This window comes from Homo sapiens, chromosome 7 (genome assembly GCF_000001405.40).
Source record: "Homo sapiens chromosome 7, GRCh38.p14 Primary Assembly".
NCBI lineage: Eukaryota > Metazoa > Chordata > Mammalia > Primates > Hominidae > Homo > Homo sapiens.
In genome coordinates this window covers 16,299,492-16,327,336 of record NC_000007.14, presented here as the reverse complement: position 1 = coordinate 16,327,336, position 27,845 = coordinate 16,299,492, and the positions used below count along the sequence as shown (strand labels likewise).

The 27,845-nt window shown below is 37.1% G+C and overlaps 1 protein-coding gene across 4 annotated transcripts in view, besides 1 other annotated feature; it reads left to right on the top strand.

Moving 5' to 3' along the window:
- The window catches only part of CRPPA (CDP-L-ribitol pyrophosphorylase A), a 334,014-nt gene that overhangs the window by 94,202 nt on the left and 211,967 nt on the right, over positions 1–27,845 (top strand). For 2 of the 4 annotated variants that reach the window (NM_001101417.4, NM_001101426.4), the window contains 2 exons: positions 18,710–18,814; positions 25,871–25,916. The exons of 1 other annotated variant lie outside the window; for it this stretch is intronic. In NM_001101417.4, coding sequence (NP_001094887.1) covers positions 18,710–18,814; positions 25,871–25,916 — 151 coding nt within the window. The remainder of the gene's footprint in view (positions 1–18,709; positions 18,815–25,870; positions 25,917–27,845) is intronic. One more of the 4 variants, NM_001368197.1, reaches the window with a different exon arrangement.
- Positions 26,706–26,906: a silencer, noted in NCBI's record as "peak6411 fragment used in MPRA reporter construct". NCBI's record gives its function as "represses an SCP1 promoter by STARR-seq MPRAs in K562 erythroleukemia cells {active_cell/tissue: K562}" and the evidence as "EXISTENCE:reporter gene assay evidence [ECO:0000049][PMID:32103011]".

The following is a 27,845-nucleotide window of genomic DNA, read 5'->3' as shown; positions in this document are numbered from 1 at the left end:
ACAGGCGTGAGCCACCGCGCCCGGCCTTGGATTTACTCTTTACCTGTCTGCACAGGATGCATGTTGAACAAAGGGTGAGGGCCAGCCATGTTCCTTAGCTTTTTTTAAGGTTGAGTTCTACTTGAAGATAATCAGTTTTACCTGGAGTGAGTTGAAGATATCTCCATTCTTGAGAAAAGAGAAAGCAAAAGAACTGTTTGTTTGAGGCAGGTGTTGGTAAAGATCCTATGAAATATTTTTACTCTCCTGGGGAAAAATAGAACAAAAAGTTAAGTTGTGGCAAAAACGAGCTAGCATGTCTTACTCCAGACACTAATTTTCACTGTTCTAACATGGAAAGATGGTAAGACCCAATCTCCTACTTTTTTCTTATACATTGCATCAGGACAGCCAGAAAAGGAGTACTGGCTAGTGAAAATACAAATAGCATTTTTGTGATTTGATAGTATTTAGGCTCTTGACAAAATTGCTCCCAAATTGGTCCAATTTGGAATTATATCAGGGAAGGAAGTTTGTTGTACCTTTTTGCTATACATTTGGATGATGAAGAGAGAACATTTGGTCTCTAGTGTAATCATCCTGAGATCTTTCACAAGGATTATAGTTATTGGCGAAAAAGAGAGTCACACAACTACTTAACAAATGCTATAGGATTTGGCAAGAACTAGTAGTAGATAGGTACTGAATCTCTTTAACTTCAGAACATAATATACACAGAATTTTTAAAAAGTTATTTAACATCAACTTCATCACTTTTTTCCAGGAATATTGCTTCAGTTTTTGTTGTGGTCCCAGTGCCTACAAATTAAGATAATTTTAGCTCATAATGAACTTGATGGTTATTAAATCCTCTGCTCACAGGAGGATTCTCTAGAGGAACAGAGCTCTTTGACTGGCTTTGTAGGACAGATGATCTATTTTATTCCATGACATCTACTTTAAGAGGGATTTCCTCCTTCAATATCTACATATGTTTCCTAGCCTTGATATCATCACAGTGAAAGCTAATCAGCAAGCTGGGTTTTATTTTTTCCCCTGTCTTTGTATTTGATCTAGGCTTGTGTCTGTTAGATGTCTGTTTAATATCATGATAATCCTTTGGGAGAGAATATGCTTTTGCTTACATTAAATACCAAGGAATAAATGTCAACACTGAGGAAATATTTATTATCCAGGGAGGGAATATATAGCTCTTTCAGAGGACTTGGAGTTGGAGGTAGATAGGTGTCCTATGTTTCAGCCTTAGTACTGTCACTGAGCTTTTTTTTTTTTTTTGAGATTTTCTTACTTAAAGCATATTTACATATGTTAAAACATTCTAATCTTTTTTAATAAAGCGTATTACTAGACCATGATTGTTATGCATGATGGTTGTTTTTAACAGTAGTTCTTGGATAGCTTATCCCTTTATTGTGTTGCCAATTTTACTACATATAACCAAGATGCTATTCTAAAGTGAATAAATATCATTCCTGTTGATGTTAGTTGTGTGGTGGTGGATTCCATTGTATCAGTGCACTTTAATGTTAAAAATCAAATCCTTTGTTTCATAGGGTATCTTAAGACCATTATGCATATCACAAGATTCCATCACAGTTCAAGCAGATGATGAGCCATTATGGAGATTTTAAATGTCCTGTGAATGGAATATCTAAATGGTATACATACAAACTTTCATTCTGATAATTCCTTGTTTTGTCTTGGAAAAGGTTTTTTGGTACTTTGGCACATTTACAAATGGTTGTCAGTGATGCTGTCAAAGTTATATAGTCATCACTCTTTCAGGAGTGTTTTGAGATGATTGCCTCTGATAGTTCTTATTGTTCCTGAAACAGTCCAATATCCATGGAATCTTCCTGAGTAGCTCTTGTGTTTGCAAGGAAAAGAGACTCCATTTTGAAGAAAGACATGTTATTGGAAAAATATAATTGGCAACTGGCAAGTTGCTGAGACCTGAGTTATTTCTAGGCTTTTTCCTTCCTTATGACAAATCTATTTTTAATTTTCCCAACTGCTTAATCTGTCTAATCTATGGTTTGTTTCCGTGTAATTTCTGCTTTAGTTTCCATCGTTCTCCAGCTCAAAGAAGGAGTACATAGCATTTAAGGTTTGACTTCCTTTCTCAACTTGTGAATTCTTTATGTTGTAGTTCAAATTTCTTGCAGATGGAACATGATTTAGTCATCTTTGCCAACCAGTTCATCCAGATTATAAGTCATTGATTATCTGATGGGTCAGTGCTTAGTTTTGAAATGTGTTTATGAATTCAACAGAAGCAAAAAGTTTGCTGCTTTCAGAATAAGTCTACATCAGTAGCCGAATTAGCAGAAGTGGAGGTGAGTGGCAGGCAGGGAATGACAAGAAACAAGGCTGCACCATCCTTAGCAGGAATTGTCATCTAGACATTTCCTTAAAAAAGGATGAGGACAGGGCGAGTACTCAATATCTGTAGTATAGTCAACTGTAAAACATTACAAGTACATTATCTCATTTGATGTTCCAAGTATGGGAGCAAAAGTGGATAAATTTAGTCAAAGATTGCAGACTCCATGTTTTGGGTATCTTCACTATTGAGATAATTCTGGTTTCATCTCATTTTTGTCAGTGCCTTTTATAGTTGTGTTGTTATGTCATGAGCAGATAATGATGTTAGTGATTTAAAGAGTGTAGTCTCCAGACCTTGTTGATGGTAATGTACAATTTATTTCCCTCCATCTGTACTAGAGGTGCCTTCAAGGTGGCAAGGGCCAAAGTAGTGGCCCTTGAATACAGTGTGTTGTTGCTGAGGTCTAACTGCATCAAAGGCCAGTGCCCAAAGTCAGGTGTGATGGGCCAGAGGAGTTGGTGTTTGCCAATTACATTCTCTGCTGGCCCATGTTAGAATCGACAGAATGTTTAGAGAAACAGCAAACTGGTTCATTAGGCTGTGTGGTTACCCATTTTTTGTAGTTGTTGAAAACAAATGAAATGATCTCAACTTCTTGATGCTGAGGAGGTTTGTTTTCTAGTGTCGTCAGACCATCCTGACCTATTACCTTTAAACAGTGGCTCACCAGTCTGCAGCTGTCTGTAATATGGAGTTCATCTTGACTAGGGGACCACATCTTAGCTCTCAGCCAGTGAGGGAGGGACATGAAGGCCTTAGTCCATTCCCTGTCAGGAAGGCTTTTGTGTGTATGTGTGCAATAACACATTCTTCAGCATGTATCCTATCCATTTGGTCAACTGATTTAAAGACAAATAAGAGGTGTTTCATTTTGTGGTCATGATCCATCTCACAAGATAGAACGTCGCCAGTGCATGGACATCTTCTCTGCTTCCTCCTATTTGCATCCGTGTTACTGATTGTGTTGCCTTCCTTCCTATTTGCTGTCCTTAATTTTCTGTTAATTTCTTTGCTTTTCTCTACAGTTTTACCACGTATGTAGGTGCTTTCAAAGCTGCTTAGTTTCGAATGTGTTTATGAATAGAATAACACTGGTAATATATTTGTGTGATGTGCTTTTTTTTGCACAATGTTTGAGATTGATTTCTATTTCCTGTATCTGTAGTTTTTTACTTTTGTTGATTGCATTAATTTACTATGGATTGTTCATTATGCTTTCTCATTTTTGGCTAATCTTAAACATCTTCTTAAGCAATTATATCAGTTTGCTCTTGTTACACAAAAGGTATGTAATAAAATATACAAAAAGATAGTGGCTTACTGACAAATTATGTTCATGCCTCTGTGGATTAGCTGAGGTTCTCTGATTTGGAGTGGACTTGGCAATAAACGGACTTGGCAGGATGGCTCTGCTTTAGTTTGTTTTCATCCTTCTTTGACCAGCAGATTATCCAACCATGTTCTTCTCATGGAGATAGCAGAGGTACAAGAATAGAAACATACAAGGCCTCTTAGAGCCTAGATTTGCAACTGGTATACTGTCACTTCTTCCTCATTCTATTGACAATCATATGACCAAACCTAAAATCAAGGGGTGGGGAAATTTATTTTACCCCTTAGTAGGGAAAAATGTAAAGTTACCTGGCAAAGGTTATAGATAAGGGCAAGTGTATAGAGTTAGGTCATATCCCTTTGACATTAAATATGCTGCATAATATCCCAGGACCCCTTAAATTCTCATCTAGTCACACCATCATGCTCAGCATCTCTTTATCTGGAGACTTGTGAATTAAAAATGAAGTTTTCTATTTCGTATGGTTTGGCTATGTCCCCACCCAAAAATCTCATCTTGAGTTGTAATCTCCATAATCTCCATGTATCAAGGCCGGTACCAGGTGGAAGTAATTAGATCATAGGGTCGGTTCCCCCATGCTGTTCTCATGATAGTGAGTGAGTCTCATGAGATATGATGGTTTTATGAGCATCTGGCATTTCCCCAGCTTGCTCTCATTCTCTCTCCTGCCACTCTGTGAAGGGGTACCTTCTGCCATAATTGTAAGTTTCCTGAGGCCTCCCCAGTGATGTGGAACTGTGAGTCAATTAAACGTCTTTTCCTTATAAATTCCCAAGTCTCGGGTATTTCTTCATAGCAGCATGAGAACGGACTGATACACTGTTCACTATATACCCAATATACGGTTGTGGAACTTATATGGAATAATCACATTGAATACTCTCCCTCAAATGGGGTAAGAATAGGAAGCAAATACCAATCACTGGTCTGTAGAAATTTTGAAATCCTGCTCAACAAATGTTGTCAGGTTTCCTTACCCTAAAAATAGTGATTATTCCTTAGTTAAGTCCCAGTTCTCTGCTTCCTGGAATTGGCCTCCAGAGCCCTGGATTTCATCTACACCCTCAGGATTTTCTTATTTTGAGAATTGTTTTTGGCGAAAATGGGAGATTAGAGTTCTGTTTTTCTAGGCTGTCATATTCTGGGCTCAAATTCCTTTCAAATTTGTTTACAAACTGGCCAGTTCTTAGGCCTTCTCATTTGTGTGGTACCTTAACATATTCACCTTAAAGATGCCAGTTCATGCTTTCAGGCTTCTTTCTGAAAGCTATCTTGCCCAAGTTAGTAAATTGATTAAATTATCTTCTAAGTCATCACAGGCCCTTCCAAAGTTGTGCCACTACATAACAACGGTTTCCCTTCCGCTTTTATTTCTTTGCCTCCTGGTGCCAGCTTCCAAAGCCAATATTACGTATATTAGATTTGGTATTTTGTGTTCATTTTTGAGGGGTAATATATTAGTTTCCTAGGGCTATTGTAAAAAGATTTCAAAATTGAGTGACTTAAAATCAGGAATGTATTATCTCGCATTTTGGAGGCTAAAAGTCCAAAATTGAGGTGTCATCAGGGCTAGGATCTTTCTGGCTCCAGAGTAGAATGTTCTTGTCTCTTTTAGTTTCTTCTGTTGGCCAGCAGTACTTTGTTTTTTCTTTTACAGTGCCTTTTATTTCATTTGCTTGTATGGTTTTTCCTAAGCCTCACCATCTTTCTCAGGACTTAGTATATTGCCTGGCAAATTTTCCATAAATATTTTCTTCGGAAAAGGATAGACGTTCCTCAGTTTTCCAGTTATTCTTTTTCATGTTTCTCCAATACATACTGGGCATATATTTTTAACTGCCTATGAATACTTTTAGTGGTTGTCCTATGGGTAACTTAAATCCAATTGGTTCCTCCAACTAACCAACAGACCTACTCTTTCTGCTACATCATCCAACTTGAGTAATGATGTCACCAGTCCTGTTGCTAATAAAACAATTTCTGGATCTGGGCCCTCCCTTCCCTATATTTCTTGGACTTATTTCAGATTCTCATAACCTGTTAGTGAGATTATGGCCAACAGCATTGTAATGGTTCTCCTTGTATGAATATAAACCACACCTTTCCTTTGGGGTTGAATGGTGATAGTTTTGATTTTTTTTCCCTAAGTTATTTACATTGGGGTTAGATATGTCACATGTGATATATCTACTCAGTGTTGTCATATAAGGTTAATAATTCGTGTGTTAGGGAAATATTTTAATTTCTTCTTTTGTTGTCTCACTTTTGATGAGTTTATCAAATAAGTTATGATAGGGTAAAGCATTTTAGGGAGATTCTTAGCTTTTAATAGTTTGATATGAAGGTCAGTAGAAATGTCTAAAAAGACAGTTATAGGGTTACTGATAACATTGTTTCCTGTATTACTTCTTTCCCCCAATTATTTGGACTCTGAAAAAGAATTATCTAGGCAGTGTTTGATAGATATGGGTGGTGTTGCCTCTAAGTTTGTAATGGATTTTTGGTTAGGTGGGGCTAGAAAAATTTGAATAAACTGATAAGCTTATTTTTTTCCCCACTGATAGGCATTTGAAAACTTCTCGTGAATATAATTGTCTCTGCCCATTTAAATAATTTTACTCAAAGAAGAAATCTTATCCTTAGCCAGATCATTCATACTGTTTCTGGAAGAGTGATGGTTGTAGCTATATTATCAGCCTCATATGGACTTAGTCTGAAATTGTTTATTTACTCATAAAATGACTGATATGAGAACAAAGCTGCTTGGATAACTGTCTCTCATGAAATCCCAAAATACATTGCATAATTCAAACAATGTAAATATATGCAAAATGCTTAAGTTTGAGTTTTAGGTGATAAATCGGATGCAGGTGTTCATTGTTTACCTAGTTGTAAGATTGTCTATTTTGTTTCTACTTGAAACATTGTGAGCATGGGGCTATAACTGCAGAGTGAGAAACCTGTGCATGCATACCTTTGATTTAGTTTTACTCTAATGTATATATTGTTCTTGGTTGGGCAAACTTCCCAGGCTGCCTAGCAGAAATAATACTGTGAATGATGTTAAGGCTGGAAGGATAGGTAATCAGATTATCTGTAGCCGTGGACCATTATGTGGTTACCATAAAACAACGGTTTCTAACTTTTTTTTGTTATAAAACCTCTGAAAGTTGTAGAATCCCTTCTCAGAAAAATAATTGCATTATATATACATTATTTTTTCAGAAGTTTTCCAGTCCCTCTGAGTCATATTCATTTACCTCATGTTAATAACCCTGCCATATTCTCATACATTGTTTATGCAAACATAAATTGAAACCACTTTTATGGAAGACAATTTGGAATATTTATCTAATTAGAATGCACATTATCTTGTTTCTCTCTTGTTTCTGGGTAGAGATAGCAAACTGAGCAGTTACCTAATTTTGCTCATAACTCAAACCTCATTAAAGCTACTAGAAAGGGATTAAAAATGACAAATCCTCAAAAGAATAGGAGAGGTGACAATGACAAATGAAGAATAGCTGGAAAACAAGTGAATTAGTACTAACAGATGCAGCTTGGAGAAGGCCAAATTACAAGCAAATAGTTGGGGCAAGCTAGGAATTAAAACTGTTTGCTGTAGAATTCTCAAAGTCCAGGACCTAGCAGCACCAGGTACCTCTGGAACGGAATGAAGGGGGACAAAATAAGGAGGGTTGGCTGAAAACTGTTTAAGCAGTCTGATCTCTAAATCTCCTTTCCTAATCTATGACCACCCTAGCAGAGGCAGGTGGTGATGAAGTTCTCTGTCTATACCGGGAGAACATAGGATGCTGTAGAAGGACTGAGTGTGTTGCCAGAAACAGTGACTAACAACCATATGCCTACTGACTGCCGAATAGGAAAGCCCATGGCTGCTTCTCCCACTCAGCCAGCTGCTATCTTCGTGGCTTGGCTTTTTTTTCCAGACTGGAGACTAGAAGAATTTTCTTTGGGCAGTCTGTCCAGTGTAGGAAGAAAGACCTAAAAATACTAACCTCAGAGGTACCCATAAACACCTTAACCCAATCACTCTACAGAAAGCTATTGGAGAATTTGTTCTAACCCTCCAAAATCAGAGTTGCAAAATGAGTCGATCAAGGAAGCAGACTGCACGGGATACAGAAGCTAGGGGATCCATGTTGGGAGAGAGATGAAGACTCTTTCCAAGACGGTGATGTAGGGAGTTCCTAGGATGATGGCTGAATGACTGGCAGAGAAGACAACAAGTCTGTTGGAAAAGATCAGAGGACTTCAAGGGTGACCTTTTCAGGAATATAAAATTGGTGCAATACCTTGTGTCTGAACATCTTGAGAGTAGATTTAAATGAATAGCTAAGTGTTTGGCATTGAATGAGTCATAAGCATACAGAAAACCACATAAAACAAAAGATAAGCTATAATTCCAGGGCAACAGAGTTGTATAGGAAACAAATTTTAATAATATATGACTCAGCTATGAGTTGTGTTTACATAGCCACTGATTTAAACACTCAATACTGATTTAACCAAAATTATGATATTGAAAGGGTGGGGAATGGGAAGTGTTAGGGTATATTGAGATGAAGTTGGGAAGAAGGACAAAAGTCTTCTGTGGATGATAGCCAAGATGGAAAAGTCGAGAGACAGCATCACAAGAATGTAATTTAGAGATACAGAATGAAAGGTAAATTATTAGTCTCAATTCTTCAGTCCTCAGCAATAGTATTCTACTTTTGTGCCCTTGCAGTGGCCTCCTGGTGAATTAAGTTTGTTTCCCTTCTCCTTGATTTGCTTGCCTGACTTGCTTTGGAAGTGAGATTTTTACCAGATGTGATTGATATAGGTGGAGGGCCAAATGTGTGCTTGTGCTGTTGGACTTGCCCTCTTTTGCTACTTTTATTGCCTTAAGGAAGGCATGGTCTGGTTGGTTGCTGCCCCTCCAGTCTGAGCTGCAGAGTAAACCCAAGGAGCAGAGCTCTCACAGCCCTGTAGCTTGGAGCAGAGTTACCTCAGCCATGATACAACTGTGTGAGTGAGAAGTGAAAATTTATTGCTACATGCCACTGAGGTTTTTTTGTACATATTTGTTACTCAGCAAAAATTGTTACATATGGAGAAAAATATAAGAATAGTTAAATATGAACAATGATTGCCTACAGGGAGGACAAAGTGGAGTGAAGGGAGTGGGTTGGACTTTTTTTCATAACTGACCTTGTAGAGATATTTGGGTCTTTAAACCATGTGCATGTGTGACTGATAAAAGCATAAGCTAAAAGTTAAGATAGTAAAACAGATTACGTGATTTTGAGATTAGGGTTTGTAAAGAAGATCTAATGGATGGACAAGAGAGTTGGGGTGCTACTAATAAAATTATTCATGCCATTAACCATAGTCTCCTTGTTGATAAGAGTAGTCTAAGAAAATAGGTTTTCTAACCAAGAGCAATTGGAGGTTTCACGGGGTTGGATGCCTCAGTGAGGTAAAAGGGCTAGGTTAGGAGAAAGTAAGAGAGATGACGGATGGAGCTTCCAGTTAGAGACTGTGTTGACAATGAAAATTCCAGAGGAGCCATGAGAGAAGTAAAGCCAAGTTTCCAGGTTGATTACATAAACCAGTTGTTCAAGTGAAGACAAGGGTCATCTCACAATTGTTAGAATGATTATTATCAAAAAGACTAGAGAAATAACAAATGTTGGTGAGGGTATGGACAAAAGAGAACTTTGATACTCTGTTGGTGGGGATATAAATTGGTATAGCCATTAAAGCAAGCAATGCAGAGGTTCCTCAAACAATTGAAAATAGAACTCACATATAATTTAGCAATTTCACTTCTGGATGTGTCCCAAGGAAATGAAATAAGCACCTCACTCCCATATTCATTGAAACATCATTGATGCATTGTTCACAGTAGTCGAGATATGGAAAAAACCCTGTGTCCATTGATGAATAGATAGAATGTGATCACATGTGCACCCACTGGAATGTTACTTAGCCACAAAAGAAATAAATCCCACTATTTTTAACAACATGAATGAATCTACCCTTTTTCTAAATGGACATTAGATATAAGAAAAAGCAGAAGGAGAAGATGATGCATATTGTCAGAGCAACCCTCAATCTCCCTGCAGAGAAAGTAGAATGCCTCTACACAACCATCAGATGTTACTGATTAGCATCTGGTAACATTTAAACCTCAATTTTTAGGGTTAACAATTTACATTTATAACCAATGATTATTTAGATTTTATCAAGAACTTGTCATAAGCTAGACACTATACCAGGTACATCAGATGTGCTGTTATGTTTGTTTTTTTATAATAACTTTTATCTTCCATTCCCCAATGTGGAAGAAGCTGAGAGGCAGATTGAATAGCTTGTCCAGAGTCTGACAACTTGTTACATGGCAACACCATGGTTGGAACCCAAGTCTATTTGACTTCTGTGTCCATGCTCTTAATCAATTGGTAATGGTGCCTCATATTCATGAGAATGCATGTACACTTTTATGAAGCAAATCCTATTCAAGGACATATTATGAGTTGTAATGTACAGTTTATACATTGCTTTAAATTACTATTAGAAAAAACTAAGCTGATTGGCATGTAAGAAAACGAATACCCTGTGTTTATCACGATGGTAGCCAGATCTAAAATTTTATAATATAGCAATAATACATAGGTATTATTTTTACAATCGGGTGTTTAGATTTTTAAATAACTTAATATTTTTCTATTAGAGATGGTGTCTCACTCTGCATTGCCCAGGTTGGAATGCAGAGGTGTGATTGTGGTTCACTGCAGCCTCGAACTCCCGGGCTCAAGTGATTCTCCTGGCTCAGCCTTCTGAGTAGCTTGGACTACAGGAACGCACCCCAACACATGACTAATATTTTACCTTTTTTGTAGAGAATCGCTTTGTTGCCCAGGCTGGTCTTGAACTCCTGGCCTCAAGCGATGGTCCCACCTTGGCCTCTCAAAGTACTGAGATTACAGGCATGAAACACCACATCTGGCCAGTTGTTTAAATTTTAAATGATCTGTAACTTAAATACCACCAGAACATGAGACTGATTAAATCTATATGTTCAGGAACAAAACCATATATATGTTCAGGAACAAAACCATAACTCATAAGCATGTTTTTCAGGAATATAACATGTTTTACTACATAAGACATATAATTTAAACATTACATAACATGACAATATAACTTTTTTGGGCAAGAAGTAATAAAAGAATAGTGTGTACATGGCAAAGGGTACAAAAATAAAGTCTTCATGCCAGCCCTGTCCTCTTCTGTCTCCCAGAGATAACTCATTTTTTCTGAGACCTTCCAGAGAGATTTTGTTCATTCTTAACCCCTCCTACCTGGCTTCTTATTCTGCCACCTGCACAGCTATCATCTTGAGGTTTTTCTTCACCACTGTCCTAGCAACTCCCTTTGTTCCTCTTCTGTATAGAATATCTGTATCCTGTGTCATTTTCTCATTTTATCTCTCTCAATTTTATAGATTACCATGTCCTACTATAGTTTCCTGAAAAAGAGTGCATGGGGGACTTCTGGTTTCCTGCATGGCATGTAGGGAGCTTAGGAGTTGTTACTCCTTCCTAACAAGTAAAATATTGAACAATTGAAAAATAAACTTTTCATATCTTTCAGAGGGGTGAGGACACAGGGCAAATTGCTGTCCTCAAAACTGGAGAGACAGACAGGTGACTACAGAAAATCACAATTTACCAGAGCAGAAATCTCCTTGGGAAATAGTGACAGGGTAGGAAAACCTACATTATAATTGAAGAATTGCTAGAGACTCAGTATAGACAAGTGTGAGTTAGCTTCAGGAGGACCCAGTCAAAGGGGAGCCCCCACAGTCTTATGAGTTTTACTTCCAGGAGCTTGACCAGGTTCTTAAAATGGGTACTGGAGAAAAATCTTATTGTGCTTCCTATGGAGGAAGGGAAACAACCATTCTGAAAAATGCTAGAGCATTCTGCTCTTAACGAGGAGGCCCACCCTCAAAAATTGTCTTATAAAGGCCTAAACTATTGTCCTTACCCAACTCCATCCTTTCCCACTCAACTCCATACCACTCTAGTCATCCTCTGGGGAGAGGCAGAGAACTGAGAAAGTGAAAGTACAAGTCCGATTTACCTTGGTTTCTTTTACCCAGTAATCATGTCCAGCTATCAAGGAAAATTTACGAAGTATAAGAAATAGTGAGCATAAGAACCAGACCCAGATATGGCAACATTGAAATTACCCAACTGGGAATTTAAAACAACTATGATTAATATGACAAGGACTCTCATGGTTAAAGTAGATAGCAACAAGAACAGATGTAGGCAGTGTAAGCAGAGAGATGGAAATGGAAAGAACCAAAAAGAAATGCTGGAGATCAGAAACACTATCATAAAAATGAAGAATCCCTTTGATGCCTTATCGGTAGACTAGACATGAATGAGGAAAGACTATCTCAGCTTGAGTATATATCTTCATAGAAATTTGCAAAACTGAAAAGCAAAGAGAAAAAGATGGAGGAAATAACAGAATATCCAAGAATCATGGGCAACTGTAAAACACATAACACACATATAATGAGCATACCAGAAGAAGAAAGGAATGGAAGCAGTATTTGAAGTAACAATGACTGGAAATTTCTCCAAATCAATGTTAGAAACCAACCAAAGATCCAGGAAGCTTCAGGAATACCAGACTGTATAAATTCCAAATAAACTACACCTAAGCATATTATACTCAAGCTACACAAAAGCAAAAGACAAGAAAAATATACTGAAAAGATAAACACCTTACCCATAGAATTACATCTCACTTCTCTTCAGTAGCCATGCAGGCAGGAAGAAAATAAAATATTTAAAGAATGTTTGCATGAAGAAACCTACCACCCTAGAATTCTGTTCCCAGCAAAATTATTTTTCAAAAGTAAAGAAGGAATGGACTTTAGCAGACAAACAAAAATGGAAATTTTTTGCCAGTAGACCTGCCTTGTAAAAAAATGTTCAAAATCTTCTCCAGAAATTTATATAGGTCAGAAACATGGATCTACATAAAGGAAAAACTTCAGTTGAGGAGGCAGTGAAGGTAAAATTTATTTTTCTGAATCTAACAGGTAACTTTGTTCAAAACAATAATAGCAACGATGTATCTGATTGTGTGCTTACATAGTGAAATGAATGACAATGACCTAAGGGATGGGAGGGAGTAATTAGGATTATTTTATAAGACACTTGCCCTATTCACCAAGTGGCACACCATTATTGGAAAGTGGTCACAGATTAGTTGTAAAAGTATATTGCAAAATCTAGGACATTTACTAAAGGGGCATTACATAATGATAGAAGGGTCAATCTTCCAAGGATATAAAACAGTGCTTAATGTGTACACATCTAACAACAGACCATCCTTATATGTGAGGCAAAAACTAATAGAATTGCAAGAAGAGATAGGTAAATCCATTATTATACTTGGAGACTTCAACACCCCTCTGTCAGAAATGGGCAGATCCACAGGCAGAAACTTGGTTAAAGACATACTTGACCCCAGTAACACTATAAATCAACTGAGTAAAATTGACATCTAGTTACTTCATTCACAAACAGCAGATTACACATTATTCTCATGCTCATATGGAACATTCAACAAGATAGACCACTTTCTGGGCCATAAAACACACCTTAACAAAGTTAAAAGAACAGAAATAACACAAGGCCTACTCTCAGACTTCAATGAAATTAAACTAGAAATCAATAACAAAGGTACCTGGAAAATCCAAAAATACTTGTAGACTAAACAACATACTCTTAAATAACACACATAAAAAAGAAATCTCAGAACTATATTTTGAACGAAATAAAATGGAACGCATCAAAATTTTGGAATGCAGCAGGGACAGTGCTTACAGGAAAAACGATAGCATTGAATGCATATGTTAAAAAAGAAAGACCTAAAATCAGTCATGTAGGCTTCCATTTTAGGAAACTAGAAAAAGAACAGCAGATTAAGCAGAAGAAAGCAAATAAAAATTGGAGCAGAAATAGATGAAATTGATAATAGGAAGTCAGTAGAGAAAAATCTACCAGACCAAAATCTGGTTCTTTGACAAGATAAAATAAATCAGCCAGGCTAAGAAAGAATATACAAATTAATACAGAAATGAAAGCACGGACATTATTATAGATCCCATGAACATTAAAAGGATAATAAAGGAGTATAATGAGCAACTCTGTGCCTAAAAACTTAGTAACTTAGGTGAAATGGACCAGTTCATTGAAAGACACAATAGCCCAAAATCATACAGGAAGAACTAGGAAATCTTAATAAGGCAACATCTGTTAAACAAATTGAGTCAATAATTAACCACCTAATATATGAAGTACTAGACTTAGGTGGGTTCACTGGTAATTTCTACCAAACTTTTAAGGAAGAAATTATACTAACTCTATAGTTTTTCCAGAAGATAGAAGCAAAGGGAATACTTCCTTAACTCATTCTGTGATGCTAGAATTACCCTAATTCAATAAACCATACAAAAAAGGTGTTACAAGGAAACTATGATCAATCTCTCTCATCATTGTAGAGATGTCATGGTCCTTATCAAAATATCACCAAGCTGAATTCAACAATGTACAAAAGCAAAACCCCACAACTGACTGGGATTTATCTCAGATACACAAGACTGGTTCAACTTTCAAAATCTAATGTATTTCATCACATCAATAGGCAGAAAGAGAAAAATCATATAATCATATTAATGGATAGAGAAAAAGCATTTGACAAAATACAACACTCATTTATGATACATTTCAGAAAACGAGAAATAGAGATCTTTCTTGATTTAAAAAAATATCCACAGAACACCTGCAGCTAACATTATTAATGGTGAGAAAATCAAGAGCTTTCCTGGTAAGGTCAAGAACAAGGCAAGGATGTGCCTCCTCAGTGCTCTTTTTCAATATTGGCCTGGAATTTCCAGCTAATAAGAGAAGGAAATGAACTAAGTATTGTGATTGGGAAGGAAGAAATAATTTTTCACAGATGACATGATTGTCTGTATGGGAAATCTGAAAGCATTGACAGAAGTTATGGAATTAAGGGACAGTATTAGAAAAGTTGCAGGCTACGAGGGAATAAAAGCCCATTGCTTTCGTTTGTACCAGCATGAACATGTGTAATTTGAAAATAGAAATATATTACTCTTTACGTTAGCAACCCCCAAAATGATACTTGGGCATAAATCTAACAAAATGTACAAAACCTTTTTTGAGGAAAACTGCAAAACTCTGAAAGACTTCAAAGAACTACATAAATGGAGAGGTGTCCCATGTTTGTGGATAAGAAGACTCAAAGTTGTCAAGATGTAATTTCTCCCCAACGTGATCTACAAATTTGATGCAATCCCAATCAAAATTTCAGCAAGCTATTTTGGAGTATTGACAAACTTATTCTAAAGTTTATCTGAAGAGGCACAAGACCTAGAATAGCTAACACAATATTGAAAGCAAAGAATAAAGTTGGAGGACTGACACTACCTGACTTTAAGAGTTAGTATAAAGTTGCAGGAATTGTGGCTGTGTGGTGCTGGCTTAAAGAATAGATAAATGGATCTATGGAATGAAATAAAGACCCCAGAAACAGAATCACATAAATGTAATCAATTGGTCTTTGGCAGAAAAGCAAAGGCAATATACAATATAGCAAAGATTTGCTGTCTTTTCAACCAAATGTTGTTGGAACAACTAGACAACCACATGCCAAAAATAAATCTAGGCACACACTTTCAACCTGTCACAACCATTAACTCAAAATGGATCAGACCTAAATGTAAAACTTAAAATGCAAATGCAAAGTGACAGTCACTTTAGAAGACAGTTTGGCAGCATCTTACAAAACATACTCTTACCATAAGACCCAAATGAGTTATGTCCACATTAAAACCCTGCACGTGAATGTTTATAGCAGCTTTAGTCATAATTGCCAAAACTGGAACCAACATAAATAGCTTAGATGAGGGGATAAACAAACTGTGGTACATCAAGATGATGAAATATTATTCACTCCTAAAAAGAAATTAGCTATAAAGTCACCAAAAGGGAAATTAAATGCATATTTTGGTGTGAGAGAATACAATGTAAAACAGCTAAATATTCTATGATTACAGCTATTTATTTCTGGAAAAGACAAATTATGGAGGCATTAAAAGGATGAGTGGTTGCAAGGGGTTGTGGGGGCCGGAGGTATGTATAGATAGTACACAGATAAATTTCACTGTCGTGTGAAACTACTCTGTACAATAACTACAGTGATGGACGTATATCATTGTACATTTGTGAAAACTCATAGAATGTATAATACAATGCATGGGTCGTAATTAAACTACGGGCTTTGAATGATAATGATGTGTCAATGTAGGTTTATTGATGCTAATACACATACCACTATGTTTACAAGGTTTCAATAGTAGGAGAGGTCGTGTATATGTGGGAGCTTGAGGGTATATGGAAATCTTTGCCTTTTGCTCCATTTTGCTATGAACCTAATATTTAAAGTCTTAAAAAGTGTAGGAAAGAAAACAATGCATGGATAATAAAATTCTTTTGATACTTTGAATGTGAGGAAAAGTTCATATTCTGCCCTCAAACTTGATAGCTCTCCTGGGAGTAGAATTCTATGTTTAAAATCATTACCCCAAGAATTGTGATTAATTTGCTTCTTTGTTCTAAGTTGTATTGTTTCTATGAAGTCCCAACTCATTTGGATTACATCTTGTTTGTAAGATAGTTTTCGTTAAGTGGGCTTGGCATACTTTCACCCCTTAGCTTCCATACTCTATAATTTCTCTTAATCTGGAAATTCAATGTTGTTCATCTTTGGAATATCTGAATTATTTGGTTGTTTTCGTCTATCTTTTTCTGTTTTTCCTGAAATTTCAATATTTTTATTTGGGTATTTGACTTTGTCGATGAGTCACACGACTCTTTCCTTTTCTGCCTTTTTAAATATTACCCCGTCACCTGATTTAAAATTCTTTATCTTCCTAGATCTATTAATAGTTTTTAAAAAATTGCAGTTTCGATTTTCTCGAGTGCTTTATTTTTGCCATTTTGATCTTTCACATTACAATCTTTCCTTGGGTGACAGTTAAATATGGGTTTTCTGCTCATGTTTAGCTGGGGACTGGTTAGACTTGGTGAGTTTTCTACTTGGGGCGTGTTGACTGTGTGTTTCTCTATAGCATAACTGGGCTGGACCTTGCTTTTTGGGGGATCTCTGATAAGTGTCCTTAGGGCTTTTGCCTTGGCAGAAGGCTGTTAGACACTGTTTTCGGGGGGCCAAGTCTAGGGAGGCAGATGGTTTTCAGTGTCTGTCTGTTTGCGTGTGTGTTTCTCATGTGATCAATGATATCATTATAACTATAACCCCCCCATGGTGAATCACAAGTGTCAAAACATTTTGTGCAATACCCTCTCTCGTTCATTAACTTTCTTGTCTAAAATCATCTTGCTACTTGCTTTGTATTTGTTCCACCTGTTCTTGGTTCTTTTTCTCACTTTTCTGTTGGCCTTTGGATTAATATACTATGTTTTATGATTTCATTTTATCACCACTATTGATTTTTTAAACTTAATTTTATTTAGCGATTGACTTGAATTTAGAATATACATCTAATGAGAATCTCCTTCAAATAATATTAGTTATGGGCACCCAATAGGAGATCACAAGAGAGGAGACTGCACATGTTTATGAACTCCTTTTGTGACTGTGGGTCCCAGAGGTTTTATATTCTTTCAGTAGCTTCCATGTAAGGATAATAAAATAGCTTTGGCAAGGGGTGCTTGATGCCATATTCATATTTGTTGCCTTGTGCAATCCTTACATGGATATGCTTTCTAAAATAAGTCTCAGCTGGGCATGGTGGCTCCAGTCTGGGAGACAGAGCAAGAACTCTGTCTCAAAAAAAAAAGAAGAAAAAAAATTAGTCTACCAAATGTCTCAAACCTCCGTAACTTTGCAAAGCACCTTTTGATTTAAACATAATCCTCCTTGTTCAATTTTATTCTGCTGTTGGAGATCAAGCCATTTCCTCTGATAGGCCTTCCTGATGCCGTCACATAGAATTAAGTGTTTTATCCACTGAGCTACCTCTAGACATTCTTCTAGTGCTGCATCTATCAGGTTCTGTTACAAACTGCTTGTTAGATGCCAGCCTCCCCTTCTAGACCTGAGTTCCTTGAGGGCATAATACATGTGTCATTTACCTTTATATATCTGGTACTTAAAATAGAACTTGGAGACAGGATAGGTACCCTGAGTACTGTTCAGCTGAATTGTATTATTACTTGGTTATTTTAGTGGCTCTGCTTAAAATGCCAAAAAATGTTTTATTTTTACTGAATTTATGAGATATGTTTACAGTTTTTCGCACAATGAAAGACTAAATTTTCCATGTTTATAAACAAAATGTAAATAATTAAAAGATATATTGATATTTTAATTACTAAAACAAGAGAACTATGACCTGCAAATGTCCTGATATAAATACAAGATATGAGATTTAGATTTTGTAGATATATATTTATCAACAGTTAAGATATGATAATCCTCAGCCATACCTTCAGGCATTTTATAAACATGTTTGGAAAGGTAACTTATAAGCAAAGGAAACAAAGTATTACATTTTTTTACGCCTAGAACTACTGAGGAATCTCAAAACTCATATGATTGCACTATTCCTATTCACTATTTGTTTTGCTTCACGTGATGGTTGCAGTATTCCTATTCCCTGTTTTGCTTTTAGCTAATGGGGATGTTATAACTCAGTCAGTAGCTGATTAAATAGTTTGAGCCCCCTAGGCCCTTCCTTTGTTTGCAATGGATTATGAAATAAAAGGCTTGGTTTTACTTAAAATCGCATTTTAGCTTAATTGTTGTTGTTGTTGTTTCCACACCAGTGTAGTGACTATGACTTGGAATTTGGAACTGAGTGTTTGCAATTGGCCCTAAAATACTGTTGCACTAAAGCCAAACTTGTAGAAGGATCACCTGACCTCTGGAAGGTAAGAGGGATGATACCTTGCTTGGGTTCTTTTCTGTGCTTTCATGTGTTTGCGTGTGTGTACATTTAAAACCAGTAGTGCATTGAGTAGGAGTTAAGGGAGTCTCACGGGTTTACTGAACCATCAATGTGTAGTATCCCTTCTATTGCTTGGCTTCAAGAAAATTCACTTTGAGATAATTTACTCAGACACATCTCATTTTAACCTGTGAGATTGGTTTATTCACTTTTTTCTTTTTCTTCCTCTCTGTAGATAGCTTTATTAGTCTGTTCTCACACTAATATAAAGAAATACCTGAGACTTGGTAATTTATAAAGGAATGAGGTTTAATTGGCTCATGGTTCTGCAGGCTGCATAGGAAGCATAGTGGCTTCTGCTTCTGGAGAGGCCTCAGGAGGCTTCCAATTATGGCAGAAAGCAAAGGAGGAGTGAGACACTTCGAGACCTCACTCACTTGGAGAACAGCTCCAAGGCGGAAATCTGCCCCCACGATCCAGTCACCTCCCACCAGGTCTCACCTCCATGGTTAGAGCTTACAATTCCCCATGAGATTTGGGCAGGGACACAGATCCAAACCATATCAATAGCCTTTTTTTTTTTTTTTTTTCTTCACTCAGTTTGATTAAAGCTACAACTTTGCCTGCAGTATCAACATTTCCTTTCAGGCCCTGGGTGGTTGCTCCAACTTAACTGGGTTAAAAGGATATCTGCAACAGTTCCAACCCAGTGGGGGTGGTAGCTGGATCCACTTTCTGTCCCACTGTGAGGAATTAGACTGTTTCCTGTGGCAGGGCCCAGTTCTTTTAATGGCTAACTTGCTTCTTTTTTTTTTTTTTTTTTTTTTTTTTTGACAGAGTTTCACTCTTCTGGCCCAGGCTGGAGGGCAATGGTGCAGTCTCATTGTAACCTCCACCTCCAAATTTCAAGCAATTCTCCTGTCCCAGCCTCCCAAGTAGCTGGGATCACAGGTGCCTACCACCACCCGGCTAATTTTTGTATTTTTAGTAGAGACGGGGTTTCACCATGTTGGCCAGCCTAGTCTTGAACTCCTGACCTCAGGCTATCTGCCTGCCTCAGCCTCCCAAAGTGCTGGGATTACAGGTGTGAGCCACCACACCTGGCCTAACCTCTTTTGGAGGGAATAGAATACTTATTGCAAACAAGATAATGGCACTATCATACTGCAGCTTCTTATCAAGGCCAGGGATGGTTTAGAGTGTGATTCTTTGTTTCATTAGTTGAATTGAACAGGACATTTGGAAATAGGAGTCTGGAAATCAGAAATAAGTACATTTGGAAATAAGATTATTTCATAATCTTGAAATACATATTGCTGCTTTTGAAATATTGCTTGCAGTCTTTGGAAATCTTTATGAAACATCCATCAAAATCTGATTAGTAAAGATTCATTCTAATTGAGTCTATAAGCATATTTCCTTACTGATTTTTAAAACAGAAAGCCCTGTAAGTTGATCAGTTATTTTGCACAGTAACATGATCAGCCTCACTGCATGCTAAGATTGTCTCAGGATAATCTTAAATACTTAAAATGTTGAATTCTAAGACTCCAAAATATTGACATGTTTGAAGTATTGCCTGGTAGAGAAAATTTATGCGGTAAAGAAATTTTATGCAATATTACTCTTCATTTAAGGACAACCTAAAATGTCTGCCTCTGCTGGGTTAACTATCATCAACCCAGCAGGCAAACATTTTATTCATCCTTTTCTATATATGGCTCAGTGATATTTATGAGGATTTTTGGCAATTACCAGTTAGATGTTTCATTAAAGGTCCTGACCCACATTTCTTTAGAACTCCTTTGGCTGTCTGGCAGACCTAATTTGAAGACCAAGAAAAAAGGCGGAAACTCTAAGGCGTTTTATTGCTACTGACATGTCAATAATCCCTGGTCTCACTTTTGACATCTTTGGAGCTGTGATTATTTACCTCTTTTGCATGTTCTGAGCCCTCATCAAGTTTGTAAAGCACTCTTGAGATCTGTGGATGAAAAGGAAGCAGCACATTACTCTCTGAATGTTACATTCCATCTTCAGTGTTTCCTTTTTGGTGAGGTGTTTATATTTCTCTGTTCTCTCCAGCAAGAGTGTTAGTCCTCAGGTACATCTTGATGCTCTGCTCCCCTTTTATGTGCAACAAATATCAGTGCACGCTAACCTGATTGGCCTTTCCACACAGTGCTTCTCTTGGTTCCACTGGTGAGTCCCTTTTTAGGGACATTGTTGTGGGTTCAACTGTCCTCTAAAAAAGTATGTTCAAGTCCTAATCCGTGGCACCTGTGAATGTGACCTTATTTGGAAATAGTGTCTTTGCAGATGTAATCAAGTGAAGACGAGGTCCTGCTGGAATAGGGTAGGCCCTAAAGCTAATATGACTAATATCTGTACAAGAATAGAAGAGACACAGATACAGGGAGAAGGCCATGTGATGATGGAGGTGGATATTGGAGTGACACATCTGCAAGCCAAGGAATGGCAGGGGTTGCCAGCCATCACCAGAAGCTAGGAAGAGGCTGGAAAGAATTCTTCCCAAAAGCTTTCAGAGGGTCCTACTTGTATCTTGATTTCGGATGTCTAGTCTCCAGACTGTGAGAGAATATAAATTTTTTTGTTTGTTTGTTTTTGACGGAGTCTTGCTCTGTCATCAGGTTGGAGTGCAGTGGCACAATCTTGGCTCACTGCAACCTCCGACTCCCTGGTTCAAGCAATTCTCCCGCCTCAGTCTCCCGAGTAGCTGGGACTACAGGTGCTTGCCACCACAGGCGCTTGCCACCACACTCAGCTAATTTTTGTATTTTTAGTAGAGACGGGGTTTCACCATGTTGGCCAGGATGGTCTTGATCTCCTGACTTTGTGATCTGCCCGTCTTGGCCTCCCAAAGTGCTGGGATTACAGGCGTGACCCACCACCACCACGCCCAGCCAAATTTCTGTTGTTTGAAGTCTGCCAGTTTGTAGTAATTCACTGTAGCAGTCCTGGGAAACACATGCTGAAAGGGCGATCCCCCCACTAGAAATCAGCATCATAGCATCACTTTCCACATGGAATGGAAGTAGAGAGCTCTACTCTTATGAATGAGATTTGAATAATGCCATGCTTCAAAGGGAGCTTGGACCCTAAAAGTCCTGTCGTGCTCTGGATTGGGGAAAATGTCTTACAGATAGACGTTATAAGCGTTTTTTGTTTGTTTGTTTTTTGGTATCACATTTTTTTCCCTGTTAACTGAGGTGATGCTAGAATGCAAATATTGCTGTTGTTTTCAGGGTCCCTATTTTCTCTTTCTGCCTCTTGTCTCATCTTTGACTTCTTTTTTTGGTATTTTCATAGCTAATTATTTAACCCCTTTTGATAACATTGTAAGATTTGTCATTAGGCTTTTACTTTAATTTTGTGATCTTATTTTGTATGATGAGAGTATTTGTTTTACACAACAATGGAGTTTATGCTTTGAAATTAGTGTCCTAATTCTACACTAACTCCAAAGATGCTGCCTTTTAAAAAAAAATGTATCTGAAAAGTTCTAGTACAATTATGCTAAACTGGTACTGGACTCAGATGGCATGGCCATGTACTTGAAACATGATTCAAAAATCTGACAGTAAAAGACATATTTGGACATAATTGAGGCATTTTATTACCATGTAACAGTGTAAGGCGAAGGAAGATCCTGAAACATGGAACAATACACCTTCCCTTTCCCCTGAAAAGTCAGGGAGTTCACTTCACATTGGTTTAAAGACTGACTTGAAATTTCTGAGGACTGCACGTAGTACTAGAATTTCAGTAGTAGAATTTCAGTTGCCACCAGAAATCCTAGGAGGATTATTTTGTATTTTATTTTCTTTAATTAATTAATTTTTTTGAGATGGAGTCTTGCTCTGTCACCCAGGCTGGAGTGCAGTGGCAAGATCTCAGCTCACTGCAACCTCTGCCTCCTGGGTTCAAGTGATTCTCCTGCCTTAGCCTCCCAAATAGCTAGGACTATAGGTGCCTGCCACCATGCACGGCTGATTTTTGTATTTTTAGTAGAGACGGGGTGTCACTATGTTGGCCAGGCTGGTCTGTATTTTGTATTTTATAAATACGTTTTGGTAAAAGTAAAAGGTAAACATTCTGGCTTGATGTCACCTTCCTGTGCTAGCTCTTCTGGGGTCTGGAGATAATATCAGTTTTTTTTTTCTTTCAACACACCATGCAGGGTAGAAAATGGCCACGGTACCCCACTACCCCCACCAGGGCGATAAGCACTGAGGAGTACAGAACTGGTTCTGGGAGTAGGGATCAGCTGTCATGCTTTCCTGGAGTAGTCTTGCTTTGACAGGCCCAAGTAAACCCTCTTATTTTGATGAGATTTCATCTAGTCTGCATAACAACTTGAGTCCCTTTAATTTAGAGTTGTACCATATTTGTGACCCCATTTACTTTTAATTAACTTGGTCTCTTACTACACTGTACAGGCTTAATTGAACAGACATCTTGTTTCTAAATGTCAAAACCATCTTCAAGCCATACAAGATTGATAACCAGTTACTGAAGAAATTTAACCACTGTGTTCCGTTGTCTGAATGTGCTTTTTTAGGAGTTTCTGAAGTTTTTGTGTAATCACAATATTATTGGAATGAATGACTTTTGAGGATTCCTTTTGTTGGGGAATACATTTTTTTAAGGTCCAAGTATTTCAGCATCTGTTTAAAAACAAAAGAAACAAAGTAGTCTCTATTTGGTTTTTGTAATTTCAAAAACACAATATGGTGACATTGTTTCTCTTCAGATATTTTTATATAGTTATCCAGCATTTTATATAGGTATCCAGAAAAGAATATTTTCTATATGTATATGATTGGTAAGGAAATAAGTTCTGAAAAATCTATACCTAATAAACATTCTATTATCTTTGAAATGTAAGTTTTGCCTATTTATTGTGAAGGGAAAGATGGGAGAACTTTATGTGTCACCTTAAATTATTGGAGATAGTGGCCAACTGGCTGTGTTCTGAAAGTTTTTTTTTTTTTTTTTTTTTTTTTTACTATTTTATGTCTCAACACAGAAACAAGAACAACATGTAGACGTGATAGGAATGAGAAATTCCCACCGTATTATTACCTTACCGTGCCTATGAAATTGGAATTTTTATCCTCCAGATTAGCTAACTACTAGATTTGTACAGAAACTTTGTTTAGTGAAGTGGGCTACTGCACTTCTATCCAAATTAGATTCCTCTGCTATTCCTTTATCCTGGCAGGTAAATCCTGGACCAAAACTATACCTTACTATCCAGAAATAAAGTAGCAGCTAACTTGATAACACAGATAAAAAGTTGTTCAAGCAATTCAACCAATCTATTAAAATGTGAAATGCTATAGTATTTCTAAAACAAGCACATGCCAACCAAAACTAGTGAATTTTAAAGTACTTTTAGCCTTATTTTTTTCCTACATAGCTAACGTACTTCAAAAGCAGTATGACTGGAAAATGTTGTAATTCTCAATTGATGGGTTATTCATTTTTTCCATCTAACTTTTACAGCAATATGGGTTGTCCTTATTTTAATTAAAAAAACCCAACACCCTGACAATGAGTATTGAAGTTCCTTTCGTTCTGTTAGCATGATCAGTAGTCTTCCTTTGACCTTGCACAACACTCTATAATGAAAAATTACTTAAAAAAATCAGTCCTGTAGTGATGAGAAAGAACTTCAATCCTCTAATTTGCTGGTTTTCAGACTGTGCTCACTAGAGCCTCAGGGGCCACCTGAAGAAGAGGAAAGGTTCTGTGTGGGTGAAATTCCAACCCAACACCTGGCACTCACCTAGTTCAGCTCATTTTTTCTCTCTTTTATTTGATTGTGCTTCTGTGTGCTATTTCAGCTGAGTTTAGGCATGGTGAGGTAATAATATGGTAGGAATTTCTCAAAGTGGGTTTTTAGAACACTTGCATCATAAATATCTAGGTGCTTGAATGTAGCTTTTAAGACCTTATAAAAGCTTATTTATACTGTGTCATTATTTACTATGTATTTCAGCTCTGTGATATAGAATTAATTCTGCAACACAATGCACTTACATTTTCTGTACCTGAGCTCACTGGATGGGGGTCTGTGAAGTATCTGCCATAGGACAGACACATGCCATGTTGGCAGGTTACATTACAAGGAACAGATTACAATTATGAGGAGGTTGCATTTTTTTTTTTTTTTTTTTTTTTTTTGAGACAGAGTCTCGCTCTGTAGCCCAGGCTGGAGTGCAGTGGCGCAATCTCGGCACACTGCAAGCTCCGCCTCCCGGGTTCACGCCATTCTCCTGCCTCAGCCTCCCGAGTAGCTGGGACTACAGGCGCCCGCCACCGCGCCTGGCTAATTTTTTGTATTTTTAGTAGAGACGGGGTTTCACCGTGTTATCTAAGATGGTCTCGATCTCCTGACCTCGTGATCCGCCTGCCTTGGCCTCCCAAGAGGTTGCATATTTTTAAGGAAAGATCATCATTGTTCTTAGACACATAGTGGTACCCTATAGGCTCTTTCTATTTTAGCCACATTTTTAATAAAAATCTTACAAGGTGAATCTTATCTAGGTTCATACGGATATATGTAATTCAGAAGGAAGTCCCTCTTAACATAAATTGACCTTTCAGAATTATTTCAGCTAAGAATGTAACTCAGTGACTTTTTTGTTATACAGAGACTTCCACCCTACCTTTTTTTCTCTAGTATAAAACCTCGTTTTTATGCAGTCATGTTAATACTGTTGTTTAAATGCTACCACATTTTCTTTAAGTATAATACTTGAGTTACATTAAGATTTCGGTAACAACTGCCACATAATATCTTAATTTATTCAAAGATTTAAAAACAAATCAGCCATTTGTAGAAATAGAATATATTTTATGTGAATTTGCTGATGCTTTTCTAATTGAGAAAATGTCAGTATTACATGTTTATAGCTTCTGAAAAATCAAGAATTTCCTTGGGGGCATTATTTTATTGCTTGCACATTCCTTCCTGCTCTGTTAAGTCTAATGAAGTTTATCTGTCCTTTAGGTGACCTACAAACGAGATCTCTATGCGGCTGAATCGATTATTAAGGGTATGTTTGGCCTTATGACTGTCAGTTCCTGTGTTTCAAAAATGTAAGCCAGTTCGGAATTTCTCATGACAGTTTAAATCCCAGCAATCTCAAAAGCAGAAAAGCCTGTAGGCCAAGGTCTCTGATTTGTTTTTTGAAAATAATTACATTTTATGTGTTTCATGCTAGAGAAATAGCAGTTACTATGATACCACATTGATTTTAATTTTTATACAGGAAATACTTTATTAACTTGAGGGAAGTATGGGACATTGATACTATTAGAAGGAAAATAGCAAAACCTGATTTTAATAATTTTGTAAAGGTCTCACCTCATTTTTACTATTAAGAGGACTGCCCTCTCCCCTTAACAGTGTCGTGTCGGTACATTAGATAGCATCTTCCATGTGAGAAACATTGTTTTTCCTAACTGGAGAAATTAGGCTGGACAGGGTGATTTTTAAAATTTCTTTTGGGTTCTGACAATGACTGCAATTTTGTAATTGTAGATATCATATGTGTGATAACTCTTTTTTAGTTCTTTTTCATCTCCGACTCAAAGATCCCAGCTAAATAGAGGTAGTTTATTTAATAAGCAACAAGCATTTGTTATTTTGCTTAACACTGTGCAAGGAATGTAATTAAGATGCATTAGGGACAGTCTTTCTGTATTTTTGTAGCCTGTTATTTAAGTCAGCTTTCTCAGTCTTGGCACTATATTGGCATTTTAGTCTGGAAAATTCTAAGCTGTGTGGACTGTTTTGTGCATTACAAGTTGTTTAGCAGCACGCCTGGCCTCTGCTCACAAGCTGCTGGAAGTACCCATCCCTCACTCCCCTTCCCCTGGTTTTGACAGTCAAAGATGTTTCCTGATATTGCCAAATGTTCCCTAGGGATAAAAACATCTCCACTGATAGAGAACCACTATTTTAAAATATGGACTCCTAGCAAAATCGGAGATGTTCACCCCAATCCTGAAACACATGTGATGCTTTACAGTGTGTTAGTAACTGATTTCTTTGAGGATAGATTATGGCTAGAACTACATGCTCAGGTTTTCATTGAGAGGTCAACTTCCAAATTCAAACTTTTTTCGAAGTAGAAAAATGTACTGAACCTGCATTCTGAGTGCATCAATTTATTAAAAAATTTTGGGAAACCCTATTTAACCATCAACAGACTTCACATTCAGAAAATGAAAATCTTTTCTCTGATCATGACAATGTATTTGTTGTTTACCCTCAAGTTCTTTGTCCTTCAAGGATATGTTGTTTTAAACTATTAATGTACTATAACTTATGCATCTGTTTGTGTGTATGTAAACAGACCATTTATAGCTATAAATCAAAATCTTGACATATTTACATATCAACCAAGCAATGTGTAAACATTACTCTGGAAAAGTCGGCTGAATGATGATGTGGTCGGTCGTGTCCTCAACACAAGGAAATATAAAACTCAGTTTGGTTTCTTCACAGAGCTTTGTATGTACTACGTAGGAAAATAGCAATGACTTTTTTTTTGTCAACAATTGGTAGTTCGACTGAGGAATATAATTGTAATACTTGGCCTATATATTATCAGAGGCTTCTTAAAAATGTAAAAACCTATACTGCAAGTGTTATTGCAGGGGCTATGACTTTGGAAATTGTTTGCAGAAATGGCTTTTGTCTATGTAATAGGTTCTGGTCTGCTACTTTTATTTTTTAAGTATTTAAAACATGTTCTACTTTTATTCTTAGGAAAGATAAATCTGACCTGCCTAGTGTAAACAGCTCATTTAGGTCAACAAACTTTTAGTTTCCTTATATTTTAGGGTTTGTATATCTAATAACTTCCCAGGAGATTCTGATGCTTCTGGTACACTTTGAGGATCACTGCTCTGGGGCCTTTCTACTCTCAGTAAATGCTCTAGACCAGCAGCATTGTGATTACCTGAGGACTAGAATC